Source organism: Homo sapiens, chromosome 13 (genome assembly GCF_000001405.40).
Source record: "Homo sapiens chromosome 13, GRCh38.p14 Primary Assembly".
Taxonomy (NCBI): Eukaryota; Metazoa; Chordata; class Mammalia; order Primates; family Hominidae; genus Homo; species Homo sapiens.
The window spans coordinates 74212981-74230320 of NC_000013.11; the positions used below are offsets into that span (position 1 = coordinate 74212981).

Genomic DNA, 17340 nt, shown 5'->3' on the forward strand with positions numbered 1-17340 from the left:
GTGGCACTAATAAAAAGTATAATATATAATAATCGTGTAGAACATTGTAGAAATTTTCAAAAATTCTGCAACAGTAGAAAACTGCACACATATATCAGCAAATAAAAGCTAAAAGTCATACATAATTCTACCCAGAGATGATCTGTGTTAAATTTTATCTTATATTACTTTTTAGTAGTATGTATACACACACACATAAATGGGAACGTACTAAAACATCTTTTTTTTTCACTTAACAATATACTGTGGTCATTGTTCATGACATTGACTTTTTTTATTTTTCTAGTCGGTGGTATTGGCTGTGATTGTAAGTAATTACTAAATTTTAGTGTTGAGAGTAACTATTCTTGTTCTCATCTGGTTTGTCATTTTAATAGCACAGTGGTTGCTGTAGACTTCAGGAAGCTCTTTTTTAACAGATAAAGAGAAATTCTTGTTTATTTTTGCTTTGGGCTTTTTTCCTTTATTTCATTTATATCAGCAATGGGTATAGAATTGTATCAATTTTTTTTGGCATCTATAGAATTGACCACACAGATTATTTCCTTTAACTGGTAGTTAGAATGAAATACATGGATGAAAACTTCCTCTTTCCCTCCTTTCCTCCCTCCCTCCTTCCCTCCCCCTTCCCTCTCTTCCTCCCTCCCTCCCTTCTTTCCTCCCTTCCTTCCTTCCTTCCAGTTTAATTTTCATTCTATTTGAAATATTATTTTTCACTTTCCCAAGTAATATATTAACATAGTTCGAACTCTAAAAAAAATCTTTACAAGGTTGGTATTGAAAAATATCTCCTTGAAGCCCAAATATCCTAGTCCTGTGTTCCCTTTCACAAGCTCTCTTGGCTATTTCTTTGGGCATTTACTTTCTTATATTTTCTAATGCTGTTTTTTAACTGTCAATTTTAATTACTATGTATTTCTCTCTTATCAAATGAAGATTTAGCATTTTTACCTCATCTCATACTTCCTCTTTACCTATTGTTTTAATATAATGTTTTTACATTAGTTTTGTTGAATTCATGGTCATTATTTATATTGCTATGACTATGTTATTGTTGCTCAGAGCTGAGTCAAGTAGCATAGTTAAATTTTCTATTTTGTGCAATTTTTGTTTTTCAAAAGTTACTTATGATTTTTATTTTTTATTTGCCTAGGTTTACATATCACAAATATTATATCAAACTTTCCAACTGATCAATAAGACACTTTTGAATCTTAGTTTCCCCATGATCAAACAAAACTGATGTTTTATCAATTCTGCCCCTCCCCAGCCCACCCCTAGCCCTTGGAAACATGCGTTCTGTAGCCTTCTATCCTCCTGGCTCCAATGTGTACTAGTTTCACTCTAGAGCTGTTGCACAGTGATCCTGAGCTTCTCCTCTCCTCTGTTCTGGCTTCCTTATTTTGAAGATTCAGTGTCTTCCTGTATTTTAGTTAACATCCTCGTTGTTCAGTAACTTCTTGAGATGATCTGGGAGATCTGAGAATGCTTTTAATATGTTGCTGTACTTGATTGATAGTTTGACATTGATTGATTGATCGTTTGGTTGGGAACAGAATTTTAGCGTGAATAAAAATGTCCTTCACAAATGTGAAGGCGTTGCATTATCATCGTCTATCTTCAGATGTGGTATAGAGTGTCTGGTGATACTCTGATTTCAGATTTTTTTTTTTCTAAAAATCTATTTCTCTCTGACAGCATTTACAATATTCTGTTTATCCCTAGTGCTCTGAAATTTCAGAGATGAGATGTGCATTAAAATAGGCAATGTTTTCTTTTTGCAAATTCATATTCTTCAATTTGAGGAAAATTCCTTTAACCATTTTTTTTTTGAGATGGAGTCTCACTCTGCCACCCAAGTTGGAGTGCAGTGGCAGGATCTCATCTCACTGCAACCTCTGCCCCCCGGGTTCAAGCGATTCTCCTGCTTCAACCTCTTGAGTAGCTGGGATTACAGGTGCACACCACCACACCTGGCTAATTTTGTATTTTTAGTAGAGACGGGGTTTCACCATGTTGGCCAGGCTGGTCTCGAACTCCTGACTTCAGGAGATCCACCTGCCTCATCCTCCCAAAGTGCTGGGATTACAGGGTGAGCCATTGCTCCTGGCCTTACACTAATTTTTGATAATGTCTTCCTATCTTTTTTCTCCACTGTATTCTCCTTGAACTTGGATTTGCCGCATATTTTATCATTCGAACCCACCTTTTAATTATTTTATTTTTATTTTTATGCTACAAATTTTGTATATTTTTATCTTTTTATGTTTTCTGATAGAATTTCTCCACTTTATCTTCCTACACTTCTATTAACTTTTTAATTTTAGCAATGTTATTTTTATTTCCTGTTAAAAGTTATTATCTGATTATTCTTCCTCTGTATTCCATATTTAGGATTTTTTTAACCTTTAAAACAACCCTACCATATTCTCATTTCCTCTGGGTTCTTTTTTTTTTTTTTTTTTTTTTTTTCCAGGAACTGAAAGCTGAGCCAAGTAGTTTGTTTGCTTGGGTCTCTGCCTTTTATAAAATTGGATGCTTTCCTCAAATTTCTGATGATGTTTAAAACTGAATGCTTAAGAGAAAGGTCCTGAACATCCTGATTGGAACCTCTGTGTGTGCTGTTAGAGCTTGCCACCTGATGGCCTTTCTTTGGGAATCTGGTCATTTTGTTGCAGAACTCGTACCCTCTTCATGTCAGTACCTATTTGTCATTTCGCTGCACCAGAGATTTTCCAGAAAACAAACAAAAGTATTCCTCCTCCAGTCCTCCTCCCAGAAGACTATATGCCTGGTGGCTAGTGTTCTTGGAATTGAGGAACACAGAAAGGTTGTGGGGAGGTGTCCCACTGTCCTGAGTGTAGACTTTTAATTATCCCTCTATTTTCACTTCAGCATCTCTTTTCTTCTTTCCATGTTTCTGGTGTCCATGAATCTGGAGCATTTTCTGCTTCTGCTAGAACAGGCTAGGGAAGGCACCATGGTGTTCCAGAATGTAGAGAGAATATGGAGTGCAACATACATGCTTTCAGGAATGAACACAAGAGCCCCTTCCACTCTCCTTTGTAGTAAGGGGCACATTCAGGTAATGAGCCCATCTGGGATTGCCAGGCAGGCTCCCTTTTGGCACTTGGCATTCACCTTTCTATACTCCACTAACTCTTTCAAATTCTTTTTATCTCTCCCATATTTGAAATCACGTTTCCACTTTTAAGTCCTTGCCACTCTCTTTTTGTTAAAAAAACTTTTAAAAAGTCTTTTTAAAGTTTAAATACCCACACACACACAAACAGAAGAGAACCTAATTTCAGTGTGGTTAGATCTAAAATTTTAAACTAATTTCAGTGGGGTTAGGTTTAAATATTCAAGTGTTTCATTGGCCACAGGGTAATGTACAAAAAAATTGGCCACAGGTTAATGTACAACAGCGTAGGTACAATAAGAGGAAGGAGAGCACCGCCCATAGAGATTCTGATGAGGACGGCATCCCTGAAAATTGGGCAGCATGGTAGCCCTGAGTGAGCCTTGGCCGGTGTCCTGGGTGAAGGACCAGGGTAGATAAGGATAGTGCTTCTGCGTTCTTCAATTCTTCATTTATTCTCGATTTCTAAGAGAAGTTTACATCAGGAGACATAATGAAGAGAAATATATGAAAAGGAGTGACTGAACTATTAAAATTAGAAGTTTCAAACTGCTAAAAGCAAAAAGGAGTGCAATTAATAGATGCACAGGGCCAAGAGGCTTAAATCAACTAGGACTGTTTCAGAAACTGGAATCTATGTTCACCCTAATTAACATCCTCTGTAGCAAGAAGTCTTAACCTACCTTGACGGGAAGGAGAGTTTCAAAATTAAATGTGATTTATTGACAATGAATTTCTTTTCAGCACTTCTACCTCTGAAGTAGTTTTCTATGGAAATTTATGACTTTATATTAATTATCAAGTTAAGAGTCGGCCTATATATAAAAAATCTTGAGAATTATTTTATTTAACACATATTTCTTCCATATCCCCCAGGAGAAAACATCTAGCAATTTCTTTTTTGTGTTTTTATTTTTAAAAATAGACTCCCTTTTATATACACACATATCTAGGGATTTCTAAAAGAAAAACTCAAATCATAAATTTCTGGGACCTTATCTATTCTTTCCTTGGTTATCAGAACATTAAATGTTAGATGATTCTTTTTTTTGAAGTAAAGAAAAGGGTGGACTTTAATGTTTATTTACAGGACACTGTGTGACATGAAATTCCACATAGAAATAAGAAACCCATTCAGAGGACAATTGAAGAGATTGTGTACCTCATTCATTGTGGCATAATAGATGACTTTTTTTTTTTTTTATAAAGAAATACTTCTCTACAGACACTACTGGTAGTACAACTATTTTAAAAGTATAAAATGTCCTCCACAATATAAAGAGAACTAAAACATTATTAATTGCTAACACAAAGGCCCACTACAGGCTGGGCGCGGTGGCTCATGACTGCAATCCTAGCACTTTGGGAGGCAAAGGCAGGCAGATCACGAGGTCAGAAGTTCAAGACCAGCCTGGCCAACATGGTGAAAGCCCATCTCTACTAAAAATACAAAAATTAGCCGGGCGTGGTGGTGTGCACCTGTTATCCCAGCTACTCAGGAGGCTGAGGCAGGAGAATTGCTTGAACCTGGGAGGCGGAGGTTGCAGTGAGCCGAGATTGCGCCACCGCACTCCAGCCTGGGCGACAGAGTGAGACTCCGTCTCAAAAAAACAAAACAAACAAACAAAAACAAAGCCCATGAACATGTTGCAAAAGAAACATGGAGAATGCTACAAGATCTGTTTCTCCTTACAATGTATTCATATGCTAGATATTCTTTCAAGAATTGTGAGATGACTTGTTTAGAATTTTACATAGTACATCACTTACAATGATGTGCTGGAATGTATAACCCCAACTCTTCCATATATTCAATATAAACAATCCAACAAGCTGCTCAAATTCCTTCCATGGCTCTGGTTGTAAATGGACAGTGATATATTCAGATTGGAATGAAGCTGTGGGCTTATATGGCAGGCTGTATATGAGACAAGCGGCCAAAAAATGTTACCAGGTTTTATTATACTTGCTGCAAAGTTGAGAAGCAAAACTGCAAGCCTTAAAAAAATTGTGAGACTCAAATCTCCAAATTGCTGATGCTCCTCACCAGAACTGAAAAGATTAGAATGCCTTCTTGAGGCAATAGATAGTAGTTTGGTCAGTCCCCATCTCTTGAGGTTTTATTATTAGAATGAAAATAGGAAAAAGGGGGACATACTCTGAATCAGAGAAGGTGGGGAACAATAAGGCAAATGAAAAGGGAGTGCCGAGAAATGAGAGTTTCTTGATTAGTGCAGTTTTGTTTTGATTTAACTAACGAAATCTGGGAAATGCGGTTGTCTGGGAAAAACAAAGGTAGATCCTTCAAAGAGAGTAAGATATGAGTCATTCTTTGCAGGTGAAAGACATACTAACTGCCCCCGCTCCGCACCCTCCAGCACCTCCCAGGTTCACATGGTTTGAGTTGATTTTTCCATTTTCTATGCTGTGCAACATCCAAGCAATGTCTCTTGCCATCGAACTCAGGTAAACTTGAAAGCCTGGCTCCTTGGGGGAATAGATAATGCACAAACGAGTCATTTTGTTTTCTGTGCAGAGCTAATTGACCTACACAGGAAACAAAACTTCAGGGTAGGCTTCATTAACACCATGGCCTAACCAAATGAGATAACGAGTCTAACATAATGATGTTAGCTGGATAAATATAATTTTATGGTAAAGTCTCAATAAATATGAGATTCTTCTTAAAAGCTTTTGTTTTTCCAATCAAAAATTATGATGGTAAAAAATACAAATAAAACAGAGAATATGAAAATATCCCCTTATACCACACCCCAGGAATCATGACTACATGCATACGCTTCTTGACTTTTCTGGATGTAAACTTATAAAAATAAGAGTTTTTTTTTTTTTTTTTGAGATGGAGCCTCGCTTTGTCACTCAGGCTGGAGGGCAGTGGGGTGACCTCAGCTCACTGCTCCATCTCTGGGTTCAAGTGATTCTCCTGCCTCAGCCTCCCAAGTAGCTGGGACTACAGGTGCACACCACCTTGCCTAGCTAATTTGTGTATTTTTGTAGAGACAAGGTTTCACCACATTGGCCAGGCTGGTCCTGAACTCCCGACCTTAAGTGATCATCCTGCCTTGACCTCCCAAAGTGCTGGGATTACAGGCATGAGCCACCATGCCCGGCTGAGATTTGTAAATTTTAACCCATATTGGACCACATGAAACATAATGACCCATGAGATGCTTTTTACTTTTTCTTTTTTCTACTTATTGTAATTCTGAGACTATATTTCCATGTGAGTATAAAAGACCTGTATAATCCTCTTAATACAAACTATGAATGCATCATATTTCATTTCAATAATCTCCTATTGATGTACATTTTGCTTGCTTTCAAATTTTTGAAAAAATAAGCAATTCATATACCTTGTATGTACATCTTTTTATGCTTGTCCTATTTGAGATACATTCCTAAGATTGGAGTTACAGGAACTGTGGGTGAGTATATTCTATTTAAAACACTAAAAAATTTTTTTAGAAAAAAGTTTAAAAAATTGTTTAAGAAATAATTTCTTTAATGTGGGTCTTATTACTTTCTTTCTAAAAATGTCTTTAGCTCAAACTTATTCTTGAATGGTATTTCTGCTGTGCATAGAATTCACATTAGCCCATTGAAGGAAACATTCCGTGGTCTTCTAAGATTGCTGGTGTTGAGGAGTCAGCTGTCAGTGTAATTGTTGTTGTTTGAAGGTAATCTGTTTTTCTTAGCTGCTTCGAAAACTTCTTTGCCTTTGGTTTTCTGCAGTTGTGCTCAAATGTGTCCAGGTGTAAGTTTCTTTTCTTTTAAAACTTCTTTTCTTTTAAAACAATAATTTTAGGATTTTTTTAACCTTTAAAAGTCTAATGTGTTTAATTAGTTTTGGAAATGTCTTAGTCATTATCTCTTAAAATATTGCATCTGCTTCGACTTTTTCCTCTTCTGGAAACTTCTTGCATAACTTCCATGATTTTTTCTTCTGTATTTTCCTACTTTTTGCCTTTTTGTGCATTGTTTTGGTAATCTCTTTTAGTGAAACTTATATGCTAGCAATGGTTTCTTTAATTATGTCCCAGTTGCTGTTAAATTCATGTTTTAAGTTATTAATTTTGATTATAGTATAGAATAATGGCTTTAAATGCTTTCCTTACTTCATCGGATTTTCACATTGTAGATTTTTGTCTTGAAAATAAGGCACTATCCTATTATCTTCCCAAAGCTGTTAAGAGGATGCTTTAAAATTTTTGAGTCTTTGTCTTAATTAATTAATTTCTAAAGCAGTGATTTTATTTATTGTTTTAATTGACAAGTAAAAATTGTATATATTTATGTACATGATGTTTTGATATATGTATACAAAGTGGAATGGTGAAATCAAGTTACTTGACATAGGCATTAGCTCACATACCTATCATTTTTTGTGGCAAACACTTGAAATCTACTCTTTTTAGTTATTTTCAAATGTACAGTATAATGTTGTAAACCATCATCAGCATGATGTACAACAGATCTCTTGAACTCATTCCTCCTAAATGAAATTTTGCGTCTTTCGATCAACATCTCCCTGGTCTACCCAACCCTAGCCCTTGGCAACCACCATTCTCCTCTCTGCTTCTATGAAATCGATTTTTTGCACTCCACATATAAGATCATGAGGTATTTGTGTTTCTGTGCCTGGCTTATTTCACTTAACAGATTGTCCTCCAGATTTATTCACATTGACTCAAATGACAGGATTTTCTTCTTTTTAAACGCCGAATAGCATTCCATTGTGTATATATAATGTCTTCATCAGATGATTTAAAATATTTCATCTCAATTTTTCAGTTGTTCTGATTTGTCTAGCCTGCCATTTATGAAAACATATATATCACTTAGTCTTTTTTGTTTGCTTGTTTGTTTTTTTTTTTTTTTGAGACAGAGTCTGGCTCTGTCGCCCCAGGCTGGAGTGCAGTGGTGCTATCTCGGCTCACTGCAAGCTCCGCCTCCCGGGTTCACGCCATTCTCCTGCCTCAGCCTGCGGAGTAGCTGGGACTACAAGCACCGCCGCCACCACGCCCGGCTAATTTTTTGTATTTTTCGTAGAGACGGGGTTTCACTGTGTTAGCCAGGATGGTCTCGATCTCCTGACCTCGTCATCCGCCCGCCTTGGCCTCCCAAAGTGCTGGGATTACAGGCGTGAGCCACCGCGCCCAGCCATCACTTAGTCTTTTTTAAAAATAAGGTTATACTTTATGTTTTTAATGCTTCCTATGTTTTCTATTTTTTGTTATCTGGTCTATGTATTTTTTTTTCTTTTGAGTCCCTTTCTCACCTCTTTTTGGGTCACTTGGAATTTCTGTAGCCCATATTCTTACCTTTAGTTTTACTTCTATGACACCAAATAATTAATGTAGATCTAATTTCCTTAATATTAACTTTAGAGGGCATCATTAATTCTCTAACATAAAAATGAAGAAATTAGCACAATTATGCCTCCTTACATATTTCTATTACTCTATTTTTTCTTTGTTATTTTTACATTCTCTTGCTCTGTAACACTGACATGCTATTTTATAATTGCTTATTAGACCCAATTTATATGACTTCCTTTTATATTTAAGTGGAGTTAATATGCAATTTGAAGAGAGGCAGTTTTATCTGCTACCATCACCTGAGGGGTGCATGATCTTGGGAAACTGAAGCTTTAGTTTGGGTTTGTTGTTTTAGGGCAATTTCCTACCAAAGTCTACTCTGTGTGAGGACCTTAGAAGCTCACATTTTGGGATGGGCAGATCATACAGGCAAGAAGACAGCACAGTCCATGGTGCAGCCCTCTAGTTCATAGGTCATTTATGTGGCAATTTATCTTTGCTCAATGAACTCTGCTGGCTGGTTTCCTTCCCTTTACCCTACCACACCTGAAAGCCATTTCTCCAGTACTGAATAGTTGAGTGAGAGGAGCTAGATGGTAAAGATGAATGTCTACGTAGGTATTTCAGTTATCCTCCCACCACTTGTCAGTGTTGAATTTGACCCTCACGTTCTCCCTTCCACAGCCATGATCCCAATTCTTGTAGTTTGAGTAAATAAAATAGAAATGTGGTTAGCCTCTTGGGGCACTCTAATTTTCTTTCAGAGGAATCTATACTTCAACCAAGTTCTGGATGGCAGTGAATTAACATTTGGCATTCTCCTCAGGGTGAAAGCAAATGTCTGTATTTTCAGTTTGAAAAATAGTTTATGGTTTTGATTTTCAGATGTTTTGGTAAGTTCCATGGGAAGGAGCAGAGTAAACATGTGAATTCCACAGTCTTTTACAAAAAGCACATGAGTGTGTTTCTGGGATATTTATTTCTATTTATTGATCTAGTCATCAGGGCCTATATCACTACTATACTCCTTTAATTACTAAAAGTTTGTGTTGTCTTTTGTTATCTACAGACCAACTTTATTCCCCTTATTTTACCTTTTTAAAATAGGTTAATTAGGTGCCAGCTCTTATTCTTCCAAAAAAGCTTTAGAATCAGTGGACAATGCTGAAACAGTCATAATAGAATTTTAATTATAAGTGCATTACGTTTTCAGATAACCTGGGAGATATTTGGTGTTCACTCAAATAGTTAATTTAATAGCCTAAATAAAATAATAATGTATAAATTTTTCACTTTTTCCAAAGTGGTCAAATTTATTTATAACTAACTAAAAGGGAACAATAATGTTATTTCATGAGAAGTGATCAAGTTGGTATTGTTCCTTAAAATAGTTTCAGAACCTAGTACAGTGCCTGGCACCAAATACAAACTCAAACAATAGTGGAATGAATCAACAACTGAATTTAATAAAAACAAATCCACTTTTTAGAAATAACATTCTTAGTAAGACTTAGAAAAGAAATTGCTAACCCTTGTTGATTTAAAAAACAAAGTACTTTGAATCAAATGAGCCAAAAAAAGAAGAAAATAAGCACATAATACCCTCACCCTTTTCCCTTCTGTAAACATCTGGATCCTTTTTGTGGCGCTTTCAAATTTCAAAATGGCTTAATTTAGTTGGCTAGGATGTTCTGGATGGAAAACGGGGAGGAAGGGTAACTTATTTTATGAGTAAACAATAGTATTGTAAATAGCTCAATTTTCTTCCTTTGTGGTTTTAACAATACACAATCGGACTCTTCCATTGCAGAGCGTGACTTTGTATGTAGATGGTGAAACCATACATGCTGCAAATAATATCTGGGAGTTTATGAGTAGAACTTTTGTGAAAATCTACTGAGAACCCCCATCTATTGTTTTTAGACTTCTAGTACAGTTTATGTGTCCCAGCATAGTTCAAACGCTTTTGTCTTCATTTACTCTGGATTTCCCAGATCTTCTCCATTACCACAAGACAGCTCCCAGATGATGGGACAAGTATGGTAAAGGATACTCTGCTACATTCAGGGCTAAAGAGCTTGCCATTGAACTGTCTCTGGGACCCAGGGGAGTCTTCCCAGGGATATGACCTGAATGGAATAGAGATGGAAAGTGGACTTCCCTGTGGTCCAAAAAGCTCAGGGCAGTCAGTTCCCACCACTTATGTGTTGGGAAATCAAGGCTGAACTGCATCAATATTAACATATTTCTATTGGATCAATATCAGTAATTTTCCCCCTTTTCTTTCAACTTTGGAGTTTTGCCTTTATGCTGCTGGCTCTGCTGTAATGGTCCTAGTTGTGTGTGACTATCTGGGTGGCTTCCATAGCCCCATGGGTTTGATCATCAGTCATCATGTCTGTATTATTCACAAGCACATATTTCACTTGCTTTAACTTTCCTATATTTTGCCATTTGTGAAGTGGAGAAAGTCAGTATCTTGTTTCTTAGGCCAATCCATTCATTTGCTAGAAGGGAGAATCTATGTAATGGAGAACTGAAACATTAGCTGGCCCTCCTATCTGCTTCTCCTATTGTGTATTTCCCCTAAAAAACAAAATCTTCCCTAGTGACTCTGCCCTTTTGTTCAAGTTAGAGAATCCTTCATAAGGATGATATCATGTTTCCACAGATGCTGTCATCCTACCTCATGTGATTTCCAATATACGCACTAATGTGTTGATGGCTCAATGGGATCAACATTTCTATTGATCATCTGCAGAAATATAAAGAGGTTTGACCATTTATTCATTATTTTATTTGTTCAAAGAGGAAATGACTGCAGGCCCTGGGCTACCTTCTGGGATTAATACAAACATGTTTCCTACATCCTCAGATCCTCTATTCTAGGATTTCTTACACCCAGGCTGGTGATATCTATGACATCCAGGATCTTCTAACTTTCTATATGGAAAAAATTTAACAATTAAGCCAGCCCATCAACCAACCAACCCACCAACCAATCTATTATACTCTACGATGTGATTAATTGATGCTAAATAATGGAGATTTTATAAAAGAGGAAATGTTCTTTCTTCCATTTCCCTAGCATTTGAGCTCTTCCTCAGTTTTATTACATACGTTGTAGCATATAATTGCTTGGAATTGAATGTTTTAAATCTCCATTAGGTAATTTGGAACATAACATATGAAAAAGCTCTCTAACAGTGGAAATGCTTTGTTGTTTTGAGTTTCTAGCATTTTCTTCCTCTCAAACTGTCTTATAACCAGTTCTTAATAAGTAGTATAATGACTAAAAATTATAAAGAACATATTAAATATAAGATGGATATTGTTGTAATTTTACCAAGCATGCCAAAATGTCAATTTAACTTCATCAGGAAAACCATTTCAAGAATTGGCAGGTAATTTTAATCTGCATTATTACTTGCTCAAGTGAAAGGGAAAAGAAGGGAAGTGCATAAAACAGAAAAGGTAGTGCATTTTGATGTTGTCTTCAAATTTGCCCTTTATTTGAACAGGATGCCCAGAAAAATTGGAACTTTTAATCAGCTGAAAGCATTCTTACTACTAAATGGCTTTCTCCTTGATTGCATACAAATTAGAGATTATCAATGACATAACATAACAGAATTAAGCAAAAGCTAAAACATAACACTACCCATACTCAGATACAGGAATGTTTTAACTGCAGCATCTTCAGGAAGAATTTGAGAGTCAACATGGATTATGTATGTAGCCTTCTCTCCCTACACCTGATCCCTTGATATCATCATCCTATTCCAAAGCTTCAATTACCACCTCTACGAAGAAGATACTCAAGACTAGAATGCCAATTTCCCTAATTTCTCTTTTACAAGCAGAGTTTTGATTTCACACTACCTTAAGGACGTTAGCTGTTTGCTATCAAAGCTATGCTGTTAATGAGGACAGTTATGTTTTCTTTCAAAATATTCCTTGCAGATAAATCTCTAAATCTCCATGAGATTTATTTCCTACCTCTTCTCCAAGAAGTATTGTGTGTAGTCTTGGCCTACATTGCGATTATTCCTAAAGGGTAATTACTTATTTGTATAGTATCCAATAGTGATAATCAGTCATTCATTTATTGAACACATGCCATTTACCAGGCTAATTAGAGACATGGGAGATAAAAAGGTCAGTGAGATCCAGCCTTTACCCTTGGTAATTTTGTTGCCAATTGAAAGAGCTCTGACGTACAAACAGATAAAGTTACAATAAAATGGGAGTAAATGCAAAAATAAAGGTAGAAACAATGTGCTCTATGGATATAGGGAGAAAGTAATTTTGTCAGGTCCAGTTAGGGAGAGAAAAAGTGATTTTTTCATATGTGTCTTGAAGGATGAAAAGATGTCCAGTCTAAGAAGAGGAAAGAGGGCATGTGAGACATAGTGAATAGCATATGCAATGGTCAGGGAAGGATACTTTTCTACAGTGACAAACCATAGCAGTGATAAAGTCAATGCGACTGAAGATGGGGAAATGTGGAATTGCTGCTGGAAAGGTGTACTGTGGGCACATTTAAAATGCCCTTTCATGCTCTACCCAGGAGTTTGAGTTTTGTTTTCCAGGTAAGATGTAGATATCTAAAATTTTAAGCAGATAAATGGTGGAAATAGCTTTTTTTAAAGGAAGTTAATTTGGGAGCTGTGTAGAGGATGGCCTCGAGGAGACAAATACAATAAGATTAGATAGAAAACAAATGTAATAATCCAGGTGAGAATTGATGGAAATCTGAAATAAGAAAAGACAGTGACTTGGGAAGGAGAGGAGGCGACAATTCCAAGAGAAGTTTCTGAGCAAGAATGGGCAGGACTTGCTAATGGTTTGGCTAGACAGTTCCAGGATGAAAAAGAAATAGAAGGTGTCTTTGGAATTTCTGGCTTGGGAGACTGAATGAATCTTGAAAGACAGTAAGGGAATAGGTTAGCAGAGAGGGGAAGATGTGCTTGATCTTGGATGTGTTCATTTAACAAGTTTGTGGGACATCCATGTGGGCATGCCCATTAGGCGGTACAAAATATGAATCTCTGCTGGGCAGAAAGACAAGGGATGGAGTTTTGGTAAACATTAACAAATAGATCATTATAGAAGCTATGGCCTTCAGTTAAAAAAATCAACCCAACCCATATCCTAGTTTATCTTCTATCTGCCTTCAATATGCTTTAAAGAAAATTGTGAATTTTTTTCTCATACACTCTTTCCATAGTGTATCAAAATGAGTCTGCACATACTTTTGCAATTAAGCCAGAAGATTGCTCTATGATAATTATTAACGCTATGTTTCTCCAGCTAAACTGGGAAAGGTACCCTAACTTTCATTCCTCAACATTCTGCCCTGATACCATACGTTACATATAGCAGACTCCCTCTCCTTCTAGACTAGTAGGGATTGAGAAACCATAGTAGTCATTTGTTTGTTTCCCAGTGTACCCACAGTCCCAGTGAAAGAGTCTCCTAACAGATTTCTTTGCCTCCAGTCTTCCCCACTCCAAGGTTTTCTGCATACTGCTCAGACTCTTTGTCTTAATTAAGCACTGGTTTCGTCATGTTTCTTCACTGTTTTGTTAACAAATCCTTTAAGCCACTTCCCATTAATATTATTTTTCTTTGACTCTTTTATTTCCAATACACCCTACATGGGTAGCATCACTTGCCTTTCCTCAAACATGGCTCTCTTCATCGCCTGTGACAGTGCTTTTGTTCCTTCTACCCAGAATATTCTTCCTATCTGTCTATTCTTGTCACAATCCTCTTAATCTCAAGGATGGCTCAAATATCAGCAATCTGGACTCCTGCAGAGTGTTGTACCCCTGTCACAGGATTAAACCACATTTTGCCTTCAATGAGTGTGTTTGTGGTTAATATCACATAAACTCTTGGAGAAAAGGCCTGTCTTGTTCATTTTTGTATCACCCCAAATTGAATCATGCAGCCTCTTACAGAGTGGTTGTGCAATAATAGTAGATAAATTTTCTACGTCTCTTCATATTTTTTTCCTCTTTAATATTGTAAAGTCACATATAATAACTTATTTTCAGTGGTGTATTCATTTTGATTCCTTGGCCAAAGTTTTTTCTATTTTTAGTCAAAATGGCTCCTTGCTTAAAGGTTTAACTCTTTTACCTCCATACATAGGCTTAGCAAACAATACATAAGAATCCCCGTGGTTATAGAATCAGCTCTGCACAAACCTAGGCTTCTCATTCTAAAGTGGAAAATATTAGGAGAAAGTGGGCAATTCATGGAAACATAGAGTTTATTGTGATAACAAAAACCTAGTTTTATATTTAAGAAAATAATTCCTTTAGAAGTTCCCGATTTCTCTGGCAAAAAGAACAAATAAAAACATAGTCCAACCAAATGAGGTTTTGGGTTGATATATCAGGATAACAGATAATATAATTTTTTAAGAAATGTTTTCAATTTTCTAGTTTTTCTCTTTGGTAGAAGAATGTTTAGTCAACTTTCGTGGACCTTAGACGAGCCAAAGATCAGTATGTTTAAGTTAATCAGTAACTTGAAATGCCTTTTTCTTGTGTTTGGGAGAAAGAAAAGGAGACAGATTGCTGTGGAAATATAAGATGTTATTTCTGCGAAAATACTTGTATCTTTACCAATTTTAAATGTCGGTTTTCTTCTCCCAAAGTTTATTTTACCTGTCTACTTGGATGAGCTTCAGAACTATCTATGTCTGAGGAATATTATCTTCCTCTTCTACATTTTGCTGTAGAGCAAACTTTCTGCACCGTATGTTAAAAAATCTGAAACTATATTATATAGTAGAAACAATTCAAGACTTAACTTGTAAAAAAGTCATGAATTAAAGTGGAATGAAAATAATATATTTTGAAAAAGCAAACCAATGAGAGCTGGACATGTTAGGTTTTAAAATAATAGGTTCTATATCTTTAATCATTGAAATAATATTTATACACTATTTTCCTATAAAATATTACATATTCATAAGATTTTAGAATAGAATGGAATTTTGAGGTCGCCTAGACCAGTTGCATCACTTTGTGAGTAAGGAAATATTAAGCTTAGAAATGTTAAGTCCCCTTTTCAAGGTCCCACAGAAATCAGTAGCAGAGCTTAAATGAGAATTTAACTTGTCTGATTCCAAATCAGTGGCTCTTTTTACCCATACTGTGATATCTATATTGTCTGAATTCAAAACTTGGATGTATATTATGACAATCTGATGTGACTTAAATGGAAACGATGGGACAGAATACTTGAAATTGAAACTGGACCCCCAAGTCAGGACACTGGATAAAAAGAAGTTTATTTGTGTCACAGTTTATTTATGTCCCCTAATGTATTTTTCTTTAAAAAAAAAGTAAAGATTAAATGCTAGTGTTTTATCAATTTGCATGGTCTTCATTAAATTGAAAAAAAAAACACACCAGAAAAATGAAGGAAATCAAACACTGCTGCTCCAAGCTTAGGGAATAATGTTAATACCATTGGAATCTACATCACCAAATACTAAGAACCCTCAGTACATGAAGCCAATCAAAGTTAAATACAGTGGATCTTTGTGTTCTATTAATTTATATGCTGAAACTTGTAATGGTGCTGACTACCTTAAACAGTAAGACAAACAAGGAAACATGCCCTTTTAGAGTTGTGAGTTGGGATAGTACTGGATATTGAGCAAATATAATTATGTTGCCATTTCTCTGGCTTTTTGATTCTTGGAGCAAATCATCAAAGTTATGTATATGTCACTTTTGTGTGAAATTATAAGGGGGATAGTCGTTAGGAATGAAAGCTTTGAACCAAGATAAAAATACATAATAAGCAATGTGTCCCTAAATATTTTGAAGAATACATTCCTAAAGAGTTAAATCCTGGCCAAAAACAAGTCCTTTGACTCCTGTATTTATTATTCGTGGTTTTGAACATGCCAGGTTCACGAGTTCTACCTGCACTTGGCAACAATTCTGTACTTTCCTCAGCCCCATGGTGTGCTCAGCTGCTTGTAAAAAGTAAGGAAGCTCTGGTGACGGTGATGCATGGTAACAACAGTTTTTATTCCTGTCAGACTTGAAAGGGTGAGAATTTGGAAAAGGTAAGAGTTTATGAGATAGTCTTAATTAAAGAAAACTATTCACTTATACCAACACTTGGAAAGTTATCTAAAATACTAACTACTTCTTTTAGGTTGGAAAAATTAGAAGGTAACTGTTCCTTTCCATTTTTTCATAGGTACTGTGGGGCAGCCCAGGAGCCACTAACAACCAAGGCCTGCACCGGAATAAGCTACAAGGATTGGTTTGGAAGGCCAAAAACCTCAGCTGACCCTAAGTCAGTTCTGCTTCTTATACAGACTATTTCAGTCCCGTCTCCCCAGTGTTACCAATGTTGTGTTTCCACCTAATCCTAACTCCTTATCTTCTAAAATGTGACATGTTTCCTTGGCTCTTCAAAGCAAAATGGAAAGAGGGAGAGATTCAAATCCTAATGCTGTCACTTAACTGTGTGAAGATGGGTAGATGAGGTACATTACTTAGTTTCTCTGAGCTGTACTTTTCTCATTTTTAGAATGAGATGATAACACATGATATGATTTGGCTGTGTCCCCACCCAAATCTCATCTTAAATTGTAGTTCCCATAATCCCCATGTGTGTTGGGAGGGACCTGGTCGGAGGTAATTGAATCATGGGGGCAGTTCCCCTGATGCTATTCTTGTGATAGTAAGTTCTCACGAGATCATATGGTTTTATAAGGAGCTTCCCCCTTCACTTGACTTTCATTCTTCTCCTTCCTGCTGCCACGTGAAGAAGGACATGATTGTAAGTTTCCTGAGGCCTCCCCAGCCCTGCAGAACT

The 17340-nt window shown here is 36.3% G+C and overlaps 1 protein-coding gene across 2 annotated transcripts in view, besides 2 other annotated features; it reads right to left on the minus strand.

Annotated features, from left to right (window-relative positions):
- The window catches only part of KLF12 (KLF transcription factor 12), a 619957-nt gene that overhangs the window by 526892 nt on the left and 75725 nt on the right, over positions 1-17340 (minus strand). The window lies entirely within an intron of this gene.
- Positions 14944-15088: an enhancer, noted in NCBI's record as "145 bp enhancer 52 fragment used in the MPRA reporter construct; PK_construct_121". NCBI's record gives its function as "activates an SV40 promoter by MPRA in HepG2 cells {active_cell/tissue: HepG2}" and the evidence as "EXISTENCE:reporter gene assay evidence [ECO:0000049][PMID:23512712]".
- Positions 15010-15023: a transcriptional cis regulatory region, noted in NCBI's record as "HNF1 motif; enhancer activity is reduced when this motif is scrambled". NCBI's record gives its function as "necessary for full MPRA enhancer 52 activity {active_cell/tissue: HepG2}" and the evidence as "EXISTENCE:site-directed mutagenesis evidence [ECO:0005528][PMID:23512712]".